The 18,609-nt window shown below is 34.9% G+C and overlaps 1 protein-coding gene across 15 annotated transcripts in view; it reads left to right on the top strand.

Annotated features, from left to right (window-relative positions):
- The window catches only part of ADAMTS6 (ADAM metallopeptidase with thrombospondin type 1 motif 6), a 333,183-nt gene that overhangs the window by 203,042 nt on the left and 111,532 nt on the right, over positions 1–18,609 (top strand). For 11 of the 15 annotated variants that reach the window (XR_007058575.1, XM_011543117.3, NM_197941.4 and 8 more), the window contains 3 exons: positions 5,432–5,539; positions 15,917–16,062; positions 18,216–18,279. Coding sequence is in view for 12 of the 15 variants with exons in the window: in XM_011543117.3 (XP_011541419.1) it covers positions 5,432–5,539; positions 15,917–16,062; positions 18,216–18,279 (318 nt within the window). In the remaining 3 variants the exon portion in view is untranslated. Of the gene's footprint in view, positions 1–5,431; positions 5,540–15,916; positions 16,076–18,215; positions 18,280–18,609 lie in introns of all 15 variants that reach the window. The other 4 variants (NR_135689.2, XR_007058576.1, XM_047416675.1 and 1 more) reach the window with 4 other exon arrangements.

The raw sequence follows: 18,609 nt of genomic DNA, 5'->3' as shown, positions 1-18,609 counted from the left end.
ATGACGATGAATTTTAACACCTTCAAATGCTAAGGTAAGATAAATGTCAGCCTAGTATATTCAATTTAAATATCATTAAAAAATGAGAATACAATTAAGATATTTTCAGAAAAATATGAAAAAGTGTCCCTTGCTAAATTAACTGCTAATGGATGTATGTCAAAAAGAAAGAAATTGGATTCAGAAGATAGTGGTAAGATATAAGAAGAAATTGGCATTAAAAGCACTGGTAAACACAGATACAACTAAACAAACATTGACTATCAAGTCTTGGGCAATGGAAAAAATGCTCAACATCACTAATCATCAGGGAAATGCAAATTAAAACCACAGTGAGATACCACCTTACTCCTGCAAGAATTGACATTATTAAAAAGTCAAAAAACAATAGATGTTGTCATGGATGTGAGGGAAAGGGAACACTTACACATTGCTGATGGACATGTAAATTAGTACCTCAATGGAAAGCATAAAGGAGATTCCTTAAAGAGTTAAAAGTAGGTCTGCCTTTTGATCTAGCAATCCCACTACTGGGTATCTACCCAAAGGAAAAGAAGTCATTATATGGAAAAGACTCTTGCACACGTATATGTATATTTATAGCAGCACAATTCACAATTGCAAAGATGTGGAACCAATCTAAGTGCCCATCGACTAATGAGTGAACAAAGAAACTGGTATATACACCTTGTGGAATACTACTCAGCCATAAAGGGATCAAAGTATGTCTTGCAGCAGCTTGAATGGAGCTGGAGGCCATTATTCTAAGTGAAGTAACACAAGAGTGGAAAACCAAACATTGTATGTTCTCACTTATAAGTGGGAGCTAAGCTATGAGTATACCGAGGCATACAGAGTGATATAATGGACTTTAGAGACTCAAGGGGGAGGGTGGGAGGGGTCTAGAGGTAAACTACATATTAGTTACAGTGTACACTACTCAGGTGAGAGGTGCACTAAAATCTCAAAATTCACCACGGTATAATTCATCCATGTAACAAAAAACCACTTGTACCCCAAACGTTATTGAAATAAAAAATTTAAAAAAAAGTCTTGGGCAGCGGGTCATTCAGAAACTTTTAGACTTTTGTAGGCAAGGAAAATTCCCTTCTAAAAACTAGCAGACAAGGATAGAGATTTCAATTCTTAATTTTGCCAGAAAGGAACATTTTGCAAAGCGTGCCATAAGCATACAGACCCTGCCCTTGGGAATTTTACAGTCTACTGTAACACCAATAAAGTAAAAAATTACAACTTAACAAATAAGGACAGTCCATTAAAATAAAAAGCATTAGTTTTATGGAAAAAAAAAAAACTGTCCAGTCTTGGTATGGTGGCTAACACCTGTAATCCCAACACTTTGGAAGGCCGAGGCAGGAGGATCTCTTGAGCCCAGGAGTTCAAGGTTGCAGTGAGACCTCAAAACGAAATAAAGCAAGCACCTGTTCACATTGACATCATCCTTCTAATTTTGTCAAAGAACATTAAAAACTTTATCATAGAGCAATACCAATCCATGCCATTTGGGCTACATGTCTGACTATAACCTACATTTTCCTCTGAAGTGCCCATGAATTCTAAGTGATTATTATTTTTTTATAAAACCAACATAATGCCTGGTGCATAGCAGATTCTTGATAAATATTCTAGAATGAGTTGGGAAAAAGCTATTACTTTTGTATTGCCAGGCATTCCTCCTAACTGATTGGAAGTTGACCCCATAACATTAGAGATTCCAATTCAAATTTACAGTGTCATATAACAGAAATGTCCTTTAGTGGGGACTGTGGATAACTTCTCTCTCCTTCCTTAAACTCAAGAGCAAGCACAAAGACCCAAATTTCCCTTACAGAGCCTTCCCAAAACAAAATTTAGGATTATCAAGGGGATTCTAACACACAGGTGCTGATTTATTAATTCACAGAGGTTATGAAACTAATCTTAATAAATCTTAACTTCTATCAGGATTCATGAGTATGTGAAAGAGAGCTAGAGCTAAGCTGGTGGATAGTAAAAAGAAAAAAAGAAAATCATTCTTTCTCACTATACTTCAGCACCTCCTATATTTTATTTAGGGAAATCTGCCTACTATGATGGTTGCCATGCAAATTCCCCAAGAGGCAAACAATTTCAGCATCCATTTAACTTTATTAGAGCCTGGAACCTATGTTAGGCTGCTTATTCAGCAACTAATATGCATGTGCAAATGAAACTGACATACCTATGCAAATATATCATCCATGTTCTAGGATTTAGCAGTTTAGAGAAAGAAGTGTATTTCTGAAAGTGTGGAATTGATCTCAAGTTCATTTAGGAAGTCTACTTCTTGTTTACTTGGTATGAAATGAAATTTTCTTTTTATCTTTCAAGAGAGTATCCTTTAAAAGAAAAAAAAGTCTTGGGAAACATTCCGAAATTGGATACCAGTATCTTTCTTATTCAAGTTGAGATTCAAATTGCAAGATCTATCTGAAAACTCTTCAGAGCCTTCTCCATGACTAGTTCTACATTTTGGGAGTGTTCCTCAACATAGAATTCCACTCCCATACTTTAAACAGTGATTTTACTGTAAAAGAGAAGTTAATATGGTAACAAAATTTGAATCCCCAGGAGCCCACCAAGGTAACAAAATGCATTAGAAGTGGAGATCTAGTTTTCAAAATGCATCATTCTCTAAAAGGTAAGAGGGCTCTATTGTGAATCTTCAGATTAAGGTTTTGAAAAAAGTATCTTAAGCACCTGCTACTTTGGGTAGAGATTTTCAAGGCACTTTTGGAAAATAAAGTTTCTGTAACCTGACTAAATAGTGTGTTTTCCTGATAGATGCAATAAGTATCGTCTTTTTCAATAATAGAACTTTCATCGCTTAGTTTTGTCTAAAGTAAACTTTAGGCTTCTTTTACCTTTGTCTAAAGTAAGAATGCAACCTAATAAAGATCACAAAAGATCAGGAGTATCATCCAGGACTATGGATGAAAATTTTTCATAATCTTTATATTAATCTCTATTAATGGTCCTCTGTTTTTATGAACACATTTTTCCTTGAATTTGGATAGATTTTTGATACATGGAGCAATATTTCAAAGCCCTTAAATGTTACTCTTACTGCTTTTTAAATATTAAACTACAAGAATATATTAAGGAATATAAACTAAAAAACCATCTTTTTATTTATTTTATTTTTATTTTACTTATTTATTTGTTTTTATTTTACTTTAAGTTCTGGGATACATGTGCAGAACCTGCAGGTTTAAAAACCTTCTTCTATAGAAAAAGAGTAAAGTAGTATAAATAACCTCTTAAAACATAAACTAAAGCTTTGAAAGAAAAGTGAATTTGTAATATTGGATCGTAAACATGAGAACGTTTTATGTTTATGTTATGATCCACAGTACATGATCCCTTTCTTTCTCTTTCTTTCTTTCTTTCTCTTTCTTTTTTCTTTTCTTTCTTTCTTTCTTTTCTTTCTTTCTTTCTTTCTTTCTTTCTTTCTTTCTTTCTTTCTTTCTTTCTTTCTTTCTTTCTCTTCTTTCTTTCTTCATTTCTCTCTGTCTCTCTCTCTTTCTTTCCATCCCTTCCCTCCTAACTTCCTTCCTTCCTTTCCCTCCCTCCCTACCTCTCTCTCTCTTTCTTTCCTTTTTTTTTTTTTTTTTTTTTTTTTTTTTGACACAGAGCCTCATTCTGTCATCCAGGCTGGAGTGCAATGGTGCAGTTCACTGCAACTTCTAACTCTTGGGCTCAAGCGATCTTCCCACCTCGACCTCCTAAACTGTGGGATTACAGGCATCAGCCACTGCGCCTGGCCCATGCTCTTCTTTTCTAATATTTTGTCTCTCTAGGCCACTAGTTCTCCAAATGGAGTTTAAACATTTTTAGGTATTTAAAAGCCTAATAGGACCAGGCACGGTGGCTCACGCCTGTAATCTCAGCACTTTGGGAGGCCAAGTGGGGGCAGATCACGAGGTCAGGAGTTCAAGACCAGCCTGGCCAACATCGTGAAACCCTGTCTCTACTGAAAATACAAAAATTAGCTGGGCATGGTGGCGGGTGCCTGTAGTCCCAGCTACTTGGGAGGCTGAGGCAAGAGAGTCGCTTGAACCCAGGAGGTGGAGGTTGCAGTGAGCTGAGATTGTGCCACCGCACTCCAGCCTAGGTGACACAGTGAGACTCTGTCTCAGAAAACAAACAAACAAACAAACAAAAACCTTAATAGACACTATATATCTCCTCTCTGCCTGGTAGGAGGCACCCTAAAGAGGAACCCAAAGAGATCCCCTCAATTTTTTATACTCTGTGGGGCACTTCCATTTGTAGGACCAGTTAACCAGTGACATCGATATTTCATTGCCTTAATTCTGATTGTGTTTGTAATGTGAGTTCTTATGTTTTGGGAGTTAAAAGATCAGTTGAGGAATAAAAGCAAAAGGATTAAATGTGATGTTAGTTTACTTTTGCATTTCAGATAATCATTTTTATTATAAATATATATTATACTAAGTTCTAGCTTAAGTTAAAAACTTGTAACATTGGTAATGATGCTAGTTGGTGATTATATATAAAAATAAACTGAAAATTTGACTATTTTCTTCAAAAGGAAGCTTTTTGGGGGCGGTTGAAACCCTTTATGTAGGAATAATATTGAACGGCTTATTTTAAAATCTGATATGTTAATATAGTATTAACAAAAAAGTATTTTATATTGTCAATATTAGAATAAGTGTTGTAATTTTCCTATGCTGAGGTAGGATAATGGAAAATCATAGGAAAGGAGACAACTCCACACAACATACCCAAAGCATTCTATAAACAGCAGCATTTGTTCAAAACCAAGTTTCCTTTCATGGAGGTAGGCTAAATTGATGTACTGAAAATAACGTTGTTAGATTGTGCCTAGGCGTATATGAATGTTAAAAATTACTCCAAAATATACTTCAAAATTTAAAAAATTCATACATTAAATTCTTATCCATTCCATGGTCTATTTTCCTGTTTTAAAATTGTCTTCATTTGAATATTATGGTAGATCTAAGAAGTCATTTTCCTGGCATCTCTTTATTAGTAATTGGTAAGTTTGTATTATTGTATATTCTTGAGTGTAATAAACATATATTTCCTTTCTACATAGTCATTTTTTTCTCCCTATTCATCTATATTAATGAAATTTCTATACACTATTGTAAAAAGATCCTAACTAATATTAAAAGCTAAGATATACTTTATCTGCTAAAATAAGAATTGCAAAGACAAATAGTTAAATGATACTGCAAGATGTTTCATAAAAACCTCCTCCAAAATCCTCAACTGCGATGCTTCAGCAGCAAAAGGTACCCAGGGTCTCTTGAAAGTAATGCAGAGTGACTGTAAGTGTATTTTATGGAAGAATTGGACATGACTCTATTTCTGATCAACTTGCTTTTGCCTTCTTTCCTAGGAAGTGTGTAGAGAGCTCTGGTGTCTCAGCAAAAGCAACCGCTGTGTCACCAACAGTATTCCAGCAGCTGAGGGGACACTGTGTCAAACTGGGAATATTGAAAAAGGGGTAAGCTCAATGATTTACTACCTGTTTGACATGTATACAAAAGTGATAAATTGCTGGTACTGATATTCAACCACCAGGAAGTCTTATATATTCATTTAAAATCTACTTGAAAATAATTAATTCCTAGAACAATAGGTTAATTGTCATACCTTGGTAGCTGCAAATATGCATTATTTAGGAAATTACAGTTGGTAAGTCTATTTTAGGTCAGTTTCACCTTTATTTTGGTATATGTATGTTATATTTGTACCAAAAGTAATGCAACAACAATCTTTTTGTTATGTAATGTAGTCTGTTTACTCATATAACATAGTCTAGTTTTTCTGGTAAATAATTCCCCGGAAAATTATGCAACCCAGAAGTAGACTTTATAACTATAGTATTACTAAAGTCACTTTTTTTTTTTTTTTTGAGACAGGGTCTCATGGTCTCATTTTGTTGCTCAGGCTGTAGTGCAGGGGTACGATCTTGGCTCACTGCAACCTCCACCTCTGGGGCTCAAGCAATCCTCCCACCTCAGCCTCCTAAGTAGCTGGGACTACAGGTACACACCACCACGCCCAGCTAATTTTTGTATTTTTCGGTAGAGACGGGGTTTCACCATGTTGCCCGGGCTGGTCTCGAACTCCTGAGCTCAAGTGATCTGCCCACCTCAGCCTCCCAAAGTGCTGGGACTATAGGCATGAGCTACCACACCCCATCTAAAGTCACTTTTAGATTGCAGTATGAGAGAAGGGACTAGTAGAAAAATAATAATTAAATAATTTATTGAACATAGAAATTAGAGCAAATAATTTTAGATTCATCAATCTAGCTTTCAAAAATATAATTATTAAGACTTATTTAAACATGCTTGGCACAGTGGCCCGCCCCTGTAGTCCCAGCTAAGTGGGAAGCTCGAGTGGGAGGATCACTCAAGCCTAGAAATTCGAGTCCATCCTATGCAACAAAGTGAGAGACTCTGTCTCTAAAAAAAGGAAAAACAACAACAATTGTTGAAACAGATAGTAGCAGTTTGTGTACTACTCTTAAAATTTTATAGGAATTGCTATTTATGTAAATTTAAATTCTAGAATTTATTTCTATAGACTGAATTTGCAATAACTATTACTGTCATCTGTTCTCAGTTCTGACTTCTTCCATGTTAGCTGGGCTAGTTTCAACAAGGATTATGCTGAGTTTCAGCTTGCAATCTGATGTTTAAGTAAAAAAGAATGAAAGCTTTTGGGCAGCTGTCACAGTTTATTAATCCTTGCTGACGGCTTCATTCAGGACCCATGACCTAGTGCCATGTTGATGGCTTTTCCATGCTAAGTTTGGAAATGTTGGTAAATTATGCTAAATATATGAACTGATAGGGTAATTGAAAAAGGATTTAGAATCTTTTTTTTTAAGATATTGTAAGTAGCCAATAAAAATACAAAGAAATTCATGCACTACCAAAAATTCCTTCTATTTTTTTTCACTAAAGTAATAGAAAATATTAGGAATTGCATTCTTGAAACAACAATCCATATTTACTTTGGAACCAATAATTCTTGTCAATTTACCTCAGTCTCTACTTAGAAGAAATACACAACCATAAAGAGGGAGAGTCACAGGGAGAATCTGTTTCTTTATTTGCCATTGATTTATTATTATTCTCATGATCAAGTTCATGGTCCACAGTAAACCACTAGTAGTGGCTATCTGAGAACACATAGCTCAGCTCCACCAGTAAATTATATTGTAAATACGTATTTAATACTGATCATTTGTGCTTAAAGCAGGGCCATCAAATGTCATATCTTATAGCATATATGTGCGTATATATGATAGAGATGATAAATTTCTTGGAAATTACAATTTGAGGGATAACTAGAAATACTCTCAGACAATTTTAAAGCTAATGGTATTGAATTTAAATTTCAATAAGCAAATAGAGAGGAAATGTAATTTGTGTTTTTTTTTTTTTTTTTTTTTTAGACGGAGTATAGCTCTGTCACCAGGCTGGAGTGCAGTGGCACTATCTCGGCTCACTGCAACCTTCACCTCCTGGATTTAAGCAATTCTGCTGCCTGAGTAGCTGGGATTACAGGCACATACCACCATGCCCAGCTAATTTTTGTATTTTTAGTAGAGATGGGGTTTCACCACTTTGGCCAGGCTGGTCTCCATCTCCTGACCTTGTGATCCGCCCACCTCGGCCTCCCAAAGTGCTGGGATTATAGGTGTGAGCCACCGTGCCCAGCCAAATATAATTACTTCTAAGCACAAATAAGAATGATCACAGACAAGAGAAAGTGATAAAATGGGGCAAAATATATTTGATTTCTAAAGATTCACCTTCTTAATCTAGGTTAATCATCAACTTTTTGATCCATAAACCCTTTCTTTAAATGAAGTCTATAGAATTCTAATATATATACATTTGAAAAAAATGGAAATGCTCTGGTTTAAAAAGCCTCTTGCCTGCCCTTTACCCTGTCTTTGGACCTTTGCCAGCTTCTGACATACCTCCAAAGGCCTCCATGAAAAACTATTTAAAAACCTTGTAAATATGGCAAAGTTTATATGTCAAGGGGTCATTTATATTCACAACATAAGAGTGTACTATCATAAGGCCAATATAGCGGATATCACTGTCTAAAACTTATCTACAAAACAAATCTTTGTTGTTTTTCCAGAGACCTGGAAGATAGATAAAGTTTTAGGAATGACACTAATAAGTCTTAAAAAGAATGAATAAATGAATGAAAAAAATACAAATGCAGATTCCTAGAAAGGAAAAGGATAGAGCAGTAGATGGTCCTCAGAATAACCTTATTAACTTTGAACTTATGAAGAAGCTTTCAGAAAACTAAATCAGCCTGCATTTTTAAGAAAAAACAAACAAAAAGAACTAGACACGTGAGCAAAACACTTCTTTATTTTTTATCTTTTACTAACTGTATTGACCATGTTACCTCTTGTATGAATTTTTGTTGTTAATTTTTGTTATTTTTTTCTCCTTAAGAAGGAAGAATATTTACTGTTGCCAAATGGAGATTTTGCCCTTAGGGCTATAATATTTGGAAAGTAAACCAGACCTCAGAATTTTGACCCAGAGCAAAACAGCCCTGCAAAGAGCTATTGACAAAATTAAAGTGGAATTTTCAATTAATCTGGTCAACTTTCTGTGGTTAGTTTGTATACTTGCCATCTAAAAATAATTGACATCCCAGTAACAATAATGACAAAGATGATGAATATTTAAGAAGTACTTACGGCCGGGCCTGGTGGCTTATGCCTACAATCCCAGCACTTTGGGAAGCCTAGGTGGGCTGATCACCTTAGGTCAGGAGTTCAAGACTAGCCTGGCCAACATGGTGAAACCCTGTCTCTACTAAAAATACAAAAATTAGCCGGGCATGGTGGCAGGCACCTGTAGTCCCAGCTACTCAGGAGCCTGAGACAGGAGGATCACTTGAACCCAGGAGGCGGAGGTTGCAGTGAGACAAGATTGCACGCCATTGCCCTCCAGCCTGGGCAACAGAGCAAGACTCCATCTCAAAAAAAAAAAAAAAAAAAGTACTTACACTATGCCCATCACATGTTGCTAAGTACTTTACAATCATTCTTATGTTTAATATTAAGAGAAATCATATGAGGTAGGTACAGTTTTAACTCCATTTTACAGAAGAGAAAAATAAGACTTACTAGCCCTAAATTGAACAGTAATTTAATGGCATAGCTGACATTTCAGCCCAGGTCTTTCTAATTTCAGAGTTGAAATCTTTGCCTCTCTATGCTGACTCTAATTTTACTTTATCTTCACATGAGAAATTTTGCAAAGTAAAAAAGCAATTTTTCATTGTCACGGGAATCAAGTGGGTCACTAAGCCTAATCTAGGTGGTGACAGTGTATTTCGCCCTTTAGTACTAAACAGATTTTTCATTTTTCTACCTGTAAACAGTGTTTCCTTTTAGGAATCACAATAAGAAAGCAATGTGAGTAGAACATTGAGCTAAGCATATATGATTGTGTGACAATTGGTAAAATAATGAATCTCTAAAATGGGAGACAACCAATTTCTATATATTTCGTAGAGATAATATAAGGATAGAATTAGATAATATTTCAGTGAGCTTTTTGCGGGCCTCCTCAGAGGGAAAGTGCTAACATATTACTAGAGTATCATCAATACTTTTCATTGTTATTTGCCAACCTTAAATGATGGTGGGCAGAAAATTCTTTGGCAGACTGCCTTAGCTGGCAGTAGAGAGTATAAGCATGAGTTTGTGTGTCTCCGAGAAATGGATGAAATATTCACAACCTCTGGTCTTAACTCTGAGTTTCAAAACTACTCTCACCAGAAGGAACAGGAAAGAACCTATACACTGTCTAGCCAGCAGAATAAAACCAAAGCTGCTCATAGTTTTCTGAATAAATCTTTTTTTAAAAGGGAGGGGGTAGAAATACTGCTCGAGTGATAGCATAGACATATCCAGAGGATTGAATCCATGATGATCTCGTCAAACTCTGGCTGCAAAAGATATGGGATCCCTGCCCAGGGGCGCAGTTCCACAAATGTTCCATGTAAGTATGGGAACTGTTCCATGCACATTTAACAGATGGAGTAAGAAATATGGCCAAAAAATTAAAAACTGATCTTTGCGTGAGTCCTGGGGGGTCTGACATCGCTATTACAGCCATTGGATGTTCGCCTGAATAAGCCATTCAAGGATTGAATAAGAACCATATGGTCTGAATGGATGTGCTCAGGGACAGTAGCATTAACCAAAGGAGGAAATTTGATGAGCCCAGACGGTGCGCTGGTACTGTGTGTCTATGGGTCAGTCTCCTACAAATCAATTAATATAACTTTCAGCCAGAGAGCTTTCCTTGGATACAGCATCAGCAATAGCCCTTTGGACAGGAATCAGAGCAATGCCATAATTGACGAAATAGTAAATAAGGATTTAGATTGTAAAAACTTTGATAGTAGTGTTGGCATTGTTACTGAACAGGATATTAAGGATAATCAAAACCCAATCCTTGTAATCCCTGTTGGTGACCACAAAGAAGGCTTCAAATACTGGCTTATAGCCAATAGATTGATTTAATGACTCTACAAGACCCAATTAGAGATATAGCCCAGTATTTGGGTTTACATGTAAGTGACATTGATTCCTAATATCTTTCCATAGGAAACACAGGGCTGGATTAGAATAGTATTATTAAATGCCCTTCTAAAGCACTGGATATATAATAGGACGTTTGCAGCCTTAGTTCTTAATTTACTTAGGGTAGAATACAGTATGTTTTGACTGGTTCCCAAACTATAAACACAGGAAGTGAAGAAAGAATAGTTCTTCCAATTGCTGTAGAAATCTAAATAGTATGGGATGACAACTTCTGATTTAGAATTTGGGCTGAAATGTAGCTTTAGCATTCCTGCACCTGCACAGTGGAAAGATAAGGCTTTTAATAGTGCTGTGCTCCAACACTCAGCTCTTCTGACTTGGGAAGAATGTTCTGTATTGAATCACTAATATTACTTCCTGCAAAATCTTAGAATTTCCTTAGAGGTCTCTTATTCCAAATGCTGCCTGGACCCAGTACTGGATATTAAAAGGTATACCATAATCACATCTAGAAAAAAATTTTTTTTAAATACTGCATATACTCATCTTGAAGTTTTCCTTCATGGAAATGTGACAAATTTTCAAAGTTAAATTATTTGATTTATAATGTATCTTTCTTAAAGTCCCTTGATGTAGATCATAATATTTAGTAGTATAATAGCAAGAGATGTTGTTTAATAATAAGTAGTGTTTCTAAAGAAGGCTCTTAAAGCCTGACTGGAATATACCATCTTTCTAGATTGTGTTGAAAACATTTATTTAATTTAGAAGAAATGTGAAAAGCAATAATGAACAATATAAGATTTTATTCTTGGAAAAAAATATGATGGCTTCACTTCTTTAACCTTTATGAATGTGGTTAAACATACCCCAATTAGCAAGAAGAAGGCCAAATTTATCCAATTTATCCGGATAATTTAGACTAAAGTAACATGACTGTTATTTAGAATAGTCCAAAATCACTAGATTGGATAACCTTTGAAAATAAAGATTAGAAACTTGTTTGCATCTACATATTTAACTTTTCTAGTTTAAAACGTAAAGTAAAATTCTATCTCTCTGTAAATAGAGCTTTTACAGGTTTGGTAACTTCAGGTAAAAGAAAGAGTAAAAACAGATGGCACAACACTCAGAATCTCATTATTATGTGGTTATAAGATTTATATATTCCAAGTTGCTTTATTTGGTGTAATCTAATTATTCTACTCATTATTTACACACATTAAACTCTTAATTTATATTGATTAATGCAATCAGCTAGAAGAGTCATTCAAATCACTTGATCCACATGAAGTCCCCATGGGCTTCTTAAAGCCCTTTTGTTAATTAAATAAGTTTCTTCTCTTAAAATCATATACTACATTGATGTTTACTACTACCAAAGGAGAAAAGTAGCCATAATTATAAAGAGATCCATTTTTATAAATAACAAAGGAGGAAAACAAAACACGAACACTTCTGCAGAGATCAAAATCAAACAAGTTGTTCCGTAGGTTTTTAACTTTTTTGAAGGTATGTATGCGTTGAACTATTTTAAAAGTTTCCCTAATCTAAACCATATTGGAATCAAGAACTAAAATTAGTTTCCATTTTATAGTTAAGGAAACAAAAGAGAAGAAAGAAAAGTGACTTGCTTTGGATCAAAGATATTGCTAGAACTGAAGTTTGTAACATAAAGTCCTACACAGACCAAAGTTGTTAACTTGTTAGCTAGTTAACTAAGTTGTTAACTAGTATTAAATTAGAGACTACACTCTTGTCAACTGCTAGGTGACTGATACTTATATTACAAATTATTTACCCATTAATGTTTGTTACTTAACTTTCTGATAAAATTACCTATTATGATATAGCTCCATGGAATAGATATAACCAAAGCATGAATTTATGCAGTATAAGGCCTTTTAGCAAACCATTTATGAAATACTACTGTTGTGTAGACTTTAGTGATGAACACTGAGCAGCATTTTACGAAGTGAATATTGTATTTATCATTTACCTAAAGAATGACTTTAGTTCATGTGACTTTTCTCACTGCCCTACATTTTGTGAGCATTCTAGAAATGTGTAATAATATTAATAAATACTTTGGAACCTACATCTTTAAGTATTCTTGTAGCTCTCACAATTCTTTTGTCACCTGACAAATGAAAAAACCTGACTATTTTTTCTCTACAAATCATAGGTATATACAAAGAGGTCTGAAATAACGTGTATCTACAGCTGTGTTTAAAAAAAAAACTCTAGTATTATTTTGTATTTTATGTAGTTATAAAAATCCAGTAAAGCATGTTATTCTTTAATGTCTTCAAATACATAATCATACACCTCCAATGGATTTTTTTTTACCACTAATTTTTTTACGTATTTTAGACAGATAATCCCTTTTCTACTAGTATGTGATCTTGGGCAAGTCAATTCCTTTAGGTTCTGGTGTCCTCATCTGAAAAACTGAAGTGCTTAGGCCTTATGAATTCTGAAGTTCCTTTGAGCTTTAGATTCAACTCTGTGATTATATAAAATAAATGTAAAATCAAGCTTTAATGTTATTTGAAATCAATAATGCTAAGTTTCCAATTTGAAAAAATAGGCATGTTTTAAGATTTGAAGTTTCTGAAAGTGTCAGTTCTCATTAATTGCAGACAGGGAAAAAAAAAAGCAGTTAATTGCTGGCCAGGACTATACTGCTCAGTTATTTGCATAGGAAAACTGGGTGCAAACATAAATATTTTTACACACAGTTACTTGTAGTAAGAAAACCACAAAACTGGAGATTATTTGGCCAGATGTTGTGACTTTTGTATAGGTGCAGATCTGATGCAATTAACATATCACTATAAAAATTGTTCTTCAAGACCAACTAGCTAAGTCGTAAGTTTTCAAGTGGAACATTTTCTCCTTCTCAAGTATACATTATCAGTAACCCTGATCACAGGGTTGATACTATATTATTGGTTTAGCCAGCTGCCTCTTCTTCATCATTCTGAACAGATGATCTTTTTTTCTTCATGATAATTTTTATTGCTCAAAACTCAATAATCTTTCTTAATATCCTGTTTTAATATATATCAGACTTAGGGTCAGATATTCTTCCCTACAGCCAAGGAAATGTTAACTTCCTCTTGCCTAATTTTTTATAGACAAATAATTGCTCAGCACTGCTCTAAAAAGTCCGTTATGCTGTTACAACTAGCACAGCTCATTGATTGTCAATTTGGTACCATCTACTAGGAAACAAATATGAATTTGGTTTCTTTACCCTCCAGTATCTCCAGTTCCTTCCTGCCATGTGATAACCAAAATAGGACACAATTCCTTAATTTAACTACTTATTAATTAATCTAATTAATTTTTGTTGCATACATACTATGTGCCAATTAATTAATCTAATAAATTTTTGTTACATACACACTACATGCCAAGTGCTATTCTAGGCATTCATTGTTTCCAATAAAACGTTTTGTGGTGATGCAAATGTTCTGCATCTGCTCTGTCCAACATAGTAGCCACTAGCTACCTGTGGCTAGTGGGTCTGAGGAACTGAATTCTTCAATTAATTTAAATTTAAATAGCCACAAGTGACTCTTGAGGCTTTTACATTACAAAGAAGTAATTTGATAAGTAAACAGGGCAATTTAAAGTAGTGGTAAGTGGTAAGAGGGAACTAAAGCAGTAGGACAGAATCACTGTTACATGGTCTGGGAGCAGGAAAGGGTATTGAGGTATCATTTTAGAATGAGGATGGTCAAGGAAAGATCTCTCTGTTGAAATGACACTTGACCTGAGACTGAAAGATGAGAAGACAGCAGTAGAAGGAATTGGGAACAAAGCATTACTAGAAGGACCAGTAAATTCAGATGCTCTAAGGAGGAACAAGATTAGTGTATGAAGGTGGAAATCCAATGTGTCTGGAGTAATCTGTGTAAGAGAGAGAATGGGGCTGAGGAAGGAGGCAGGGGCTAGATCACTAAATCTACTGTTGATCAGTGTTATGGAAATAGGAAACCACTGAGTTTTTTTAAGCAAAAAGGTGGCATAATGTGATAGCATGTTTTTAAAAGATCTTTCTAAATGCTCTCTGGAAAATAGATTCTAGGAGAAAAAAGTAGAAGCACAATGATCAGGTAAGAAGCTACTCCATTTGCCAGTTTGATCTAGAGTATAGCGATGAAGAAGGTGAAAAGTAAAAGAATTCCAGGGATATTCTGGAGATAAAACCAACAAAGCTTGGTGATAGAATTAGTATAATAAACTGATCACTTTCTAAGTACCACATCATGATCCCTTTTCATTTTAATATAAGGTTGAATTTTTATTAAACAACCTAACATTGATGACATTTGTTCAACTTTGCTGATAACCATGTTCCTTATTGTTATTCATATAAACAAATGACTTTCATAGTAGCATTATTTTGGTGTGTCAAAGTTTGATAATTTGAAAAATGCATCAACAAAAGTCTACAAATGCTTGGTTTAAAAAAGACTTTCATTTTGCCATATTCTGCAAATAAGATTTATCATGCTAGAGTTATGAGTTGATTTTGTGATGTCTGTGTCTCAATAAATTATTCCTGGCTTTCTACTTAGGTGCAGTATGTGTGGTTTATTACGGAGAGTAGAGCTGAGCAGAATTCCAGTACATATGTTCATGTGGGGGCCATACACATGGCTAGTCAGTGTATACAAGGGTTTTTTTGTACCCAGTCCCTAATGTCTTGGCATTACTTTTATTATGTCTGCAGTGCTCATGTAGATGAAATGCCACAACACATTCTTTTACTATTGTAGCCTCAACCGGCTTTTTTTTTTTTTTTTTTAAGAAAGAGCAATTACCATCATAAAAATTCCTTACTGGGGAACCTTCCATATTGCGTTATCATTCCATGAGTCTAATAATAGTGAAATATAAAGAAAAATTTTAAATAAAATACTAAAATATCTAAAAAAGACTTTGAGGTCTATAGCTAGCTCTATAATGAGAAACACTAAAAGTCAAGAGGAATAGAAACAAGGGAAAAGAAGCAATGTGACTTTTTTTTAGAACTCCCAATACAGGTTAGAGGCTTATAAATCATGGTCTAGCTAAGATAATTCGCAAGTCACATGCACATTCACCAGTGTCTAAACACAGTTAGAGAACTATCTGTCTGTTATCAATTGGGAGAATGCTAATGCCTATAGTTGGTCAGTACCTGACCCTTATGTATTTCTATCCTGATAGCTCTATCTGCCTAAAAGCTAATTCTGTGTTTTCTGTGAAATCTTGCAGTGGTGTTATCAGGGAGATTGTGTTCCTTTTGGCACTTGGCCCCAGAGCATAGATGGGGGCTGGGGTCCCTGGTCACTATGGGGAGAGTGCAGCAGGACCTGCGGGGGAGGCGTCTCCTCATCCCTAAGACACTGTGACAGTCCAGCGTAAGTAGCTAAAGTAAGCCGGAGCCAACAAAAAGACACAGTTGGAAATGATTCAAAGCTGTGGTTTCACATGTTATCTGTAAAAACGTTTCGCTAGTGAGCCAAGTACTTGTCTTCAGAACAAGCCATAGGCACAGGAAAGTGGAGGAGCTTTGTTAGACAGACTTTCTTCTTCTTCCTTTCCCCTTATTGTGTAACCAAAAATAAAATGTAAAAAATAGAAAGTATTGTGTATCTGTCCCAGATAAGCCAGACTTTTAATCTAATAATAATCAGATTTCCTCCTCCAAAAACTACTGAATTATGGATGAATCCAGATCTGGTCTTAGCTACATTACTATTATTCCCAGGAAACCTAAGGTCTTTTCACATGTCACATAAAATTATTACTGCTACATCAGTATTAAAAGGACCAATGAGAGCACTTCAAGGGTTGAAATGCCTTGATTCGCATCACAAATCACAATGAAAAGAATACTGCCCATGTGTTAAAATAGTTTCCATTCATATGCCCCCATTAATCATCTTCCGGAGCTGCCACCACTTTTCTCCCCATGACTGTTTTATGCAGGTCAGACTGCACCTCTTCCACCACTGTTTTCTCCAGCCAGAGTCCCCCTGGCACAAGGCCAGCACCATCAGTATTCTTTGCTAGCTCTGTTGCTTCTCCCTCCTACCAGTGCTCCATGCCCATTACAGGTGAACGGTTCCTCTAGTTGTACTTTCTTGTCCTCCCTGAGACTAAACTGTTCTTTGGCTGCCGCATGTCAAGTGCCCATTTTTGTCTAGAACGCTGGTTGAGGACCTTCTTTCCCAGCTAGTATTTGATGGAGAATGATGTTATGATAACGGCTTTTCCTTTTTTTTTTCTCATTCTGAAATAAAAGATGGTCTATTTTTATTTTTTAGTTTTTCTCCATTTTTAACTCAGGATCCCTCTCTTTGGTTCCTGTCTCCAACTGTCTTTTTTCTTTTCTTTTACTCTTTTTAGCTTGTTTTGCTTTATGTTAGTTCTGTGTTTCCATTCTCCCACTTCCTATCAATTATTCCTCTCTTGCTAAACAGAGCTTCCTGTTACCCATTCATAAACCAGTCATGCTACCACCATCCCCACTATCTTGTTTTTGTCTGACCAACCCATTTCTCTCAAGCTGGTTCAAGCTGAGCCATTTCCCTTCCTTACTTAGAGTCAGCATTCACTGGCATTCAAAATATATTCAAAATGTAGCTTTAATGATCCCATTGATACCAGTGAGCCAAAATTATAATTTAGACTTGATCTTTTTAAAAAAATTACAGAATAACTAACGTAAGTTCAACTGAAAGCTGCTATAAATTAATCAAAGTATAAAAAACCCTGTGATAAATAATATACCCAGATACTTAAGGGAAAAAACTGGACCTCTTTTAAAAGAAGAAATTAGTTGTTTTTATCACTCAATGGTAGTATGCCCAAATAATAGCAATGGTTTTCCCTAATGTTAAATCCTTTAAAGATTAACTTATATTAGTCAAATATTTGACGTCTTACTGTTTCATTAATTTTGGTGAAATATAAAATATTTAGTATTTATATAATGCAAAGCCATCTGATTTTTAGATTTAAATTTTTAAACTTCATGGACTATTTTGAAATAAGATGGAAATTTGTTTTTGCATTATTCACTTTGAATGAAAGCTATTTCCAAGGAGTTATTTCATGTCTCCTTGCTTCCTGTCTGGAGTAAAAACAAACTTTCCATTTCCTAGTTGGTGAACATATAGCATCAGATTATGGATTTTGTTGAATATGATTTAAATGGCTTTTCATTATAAATAAGTGATTTTTACTATGATAATTAGAAAATATATTGATTCAATTGATTTTCTTGAGAATGTAAATCATGACAATTAAGAATCTTATAAATTACTAGTAAATTAATACAAAATTAATAGTACTATTAATAAAATTAATAATAAACTGCCTTAATTTTTATGTTCAACAACCATAATTATTGCTAACAATCACCAGCATGATTACTTTAATAATTAAAACATGTCAAATGATATATTTTTTGAAAGTAAACTTTAGTATGTTTTCATCAAGTAATATATATACTCTTTGTATGGACAGATGTATTAGTATTCACATTTTAAACACAATGTTTTTTCAGACCTTCAGGAGGTGGAAAATATTGCCTTGGGGAAAGGAAACGGTATCGCTCCTGTAACACAGATGTAAGTAAAACCAAACTCTGTTATGAAAAATTAGCTTACTCTTTCCCTAGAGTAGGGAAATTTTTTTAATTTTAAACTATTTGATAAGAAATACATGTGTGTGAAGGTCACATTAATTTTCTAAATTGTTAATAATGAATGGAGCTGGCCTCAGCTCCATCAATTCCATTAATAAGGGTCAAGGGGGAGCTCCAGTACTGGGAACAAGTATATTCTTCCCCAACAGATATCAAGAGAGGCACACACACCCTGAACTGCCCTGCCCCACACACTCACAACTTCAACACCACTATCTTTCTTGACTCCACAGAATTAATCTTATTATGCCCT

This window comes from Homo sapiens, chromosome 5 (genome assembly GCF_000001405.40).
Source record: "Homo sapiens chromosome 5, GRCh38.p14 Primary Assembly".
NCBI classification, from domain to species: Eukaryota; Metazoa; Chordata; class Mammalia; order Primates; family Hominidae; genus Homo; species Homo sapiens.
Note: the sequence above shows the minus strand (reverse complement) of the source record. Positions and strands in the feature narration are given on the sequence as shown.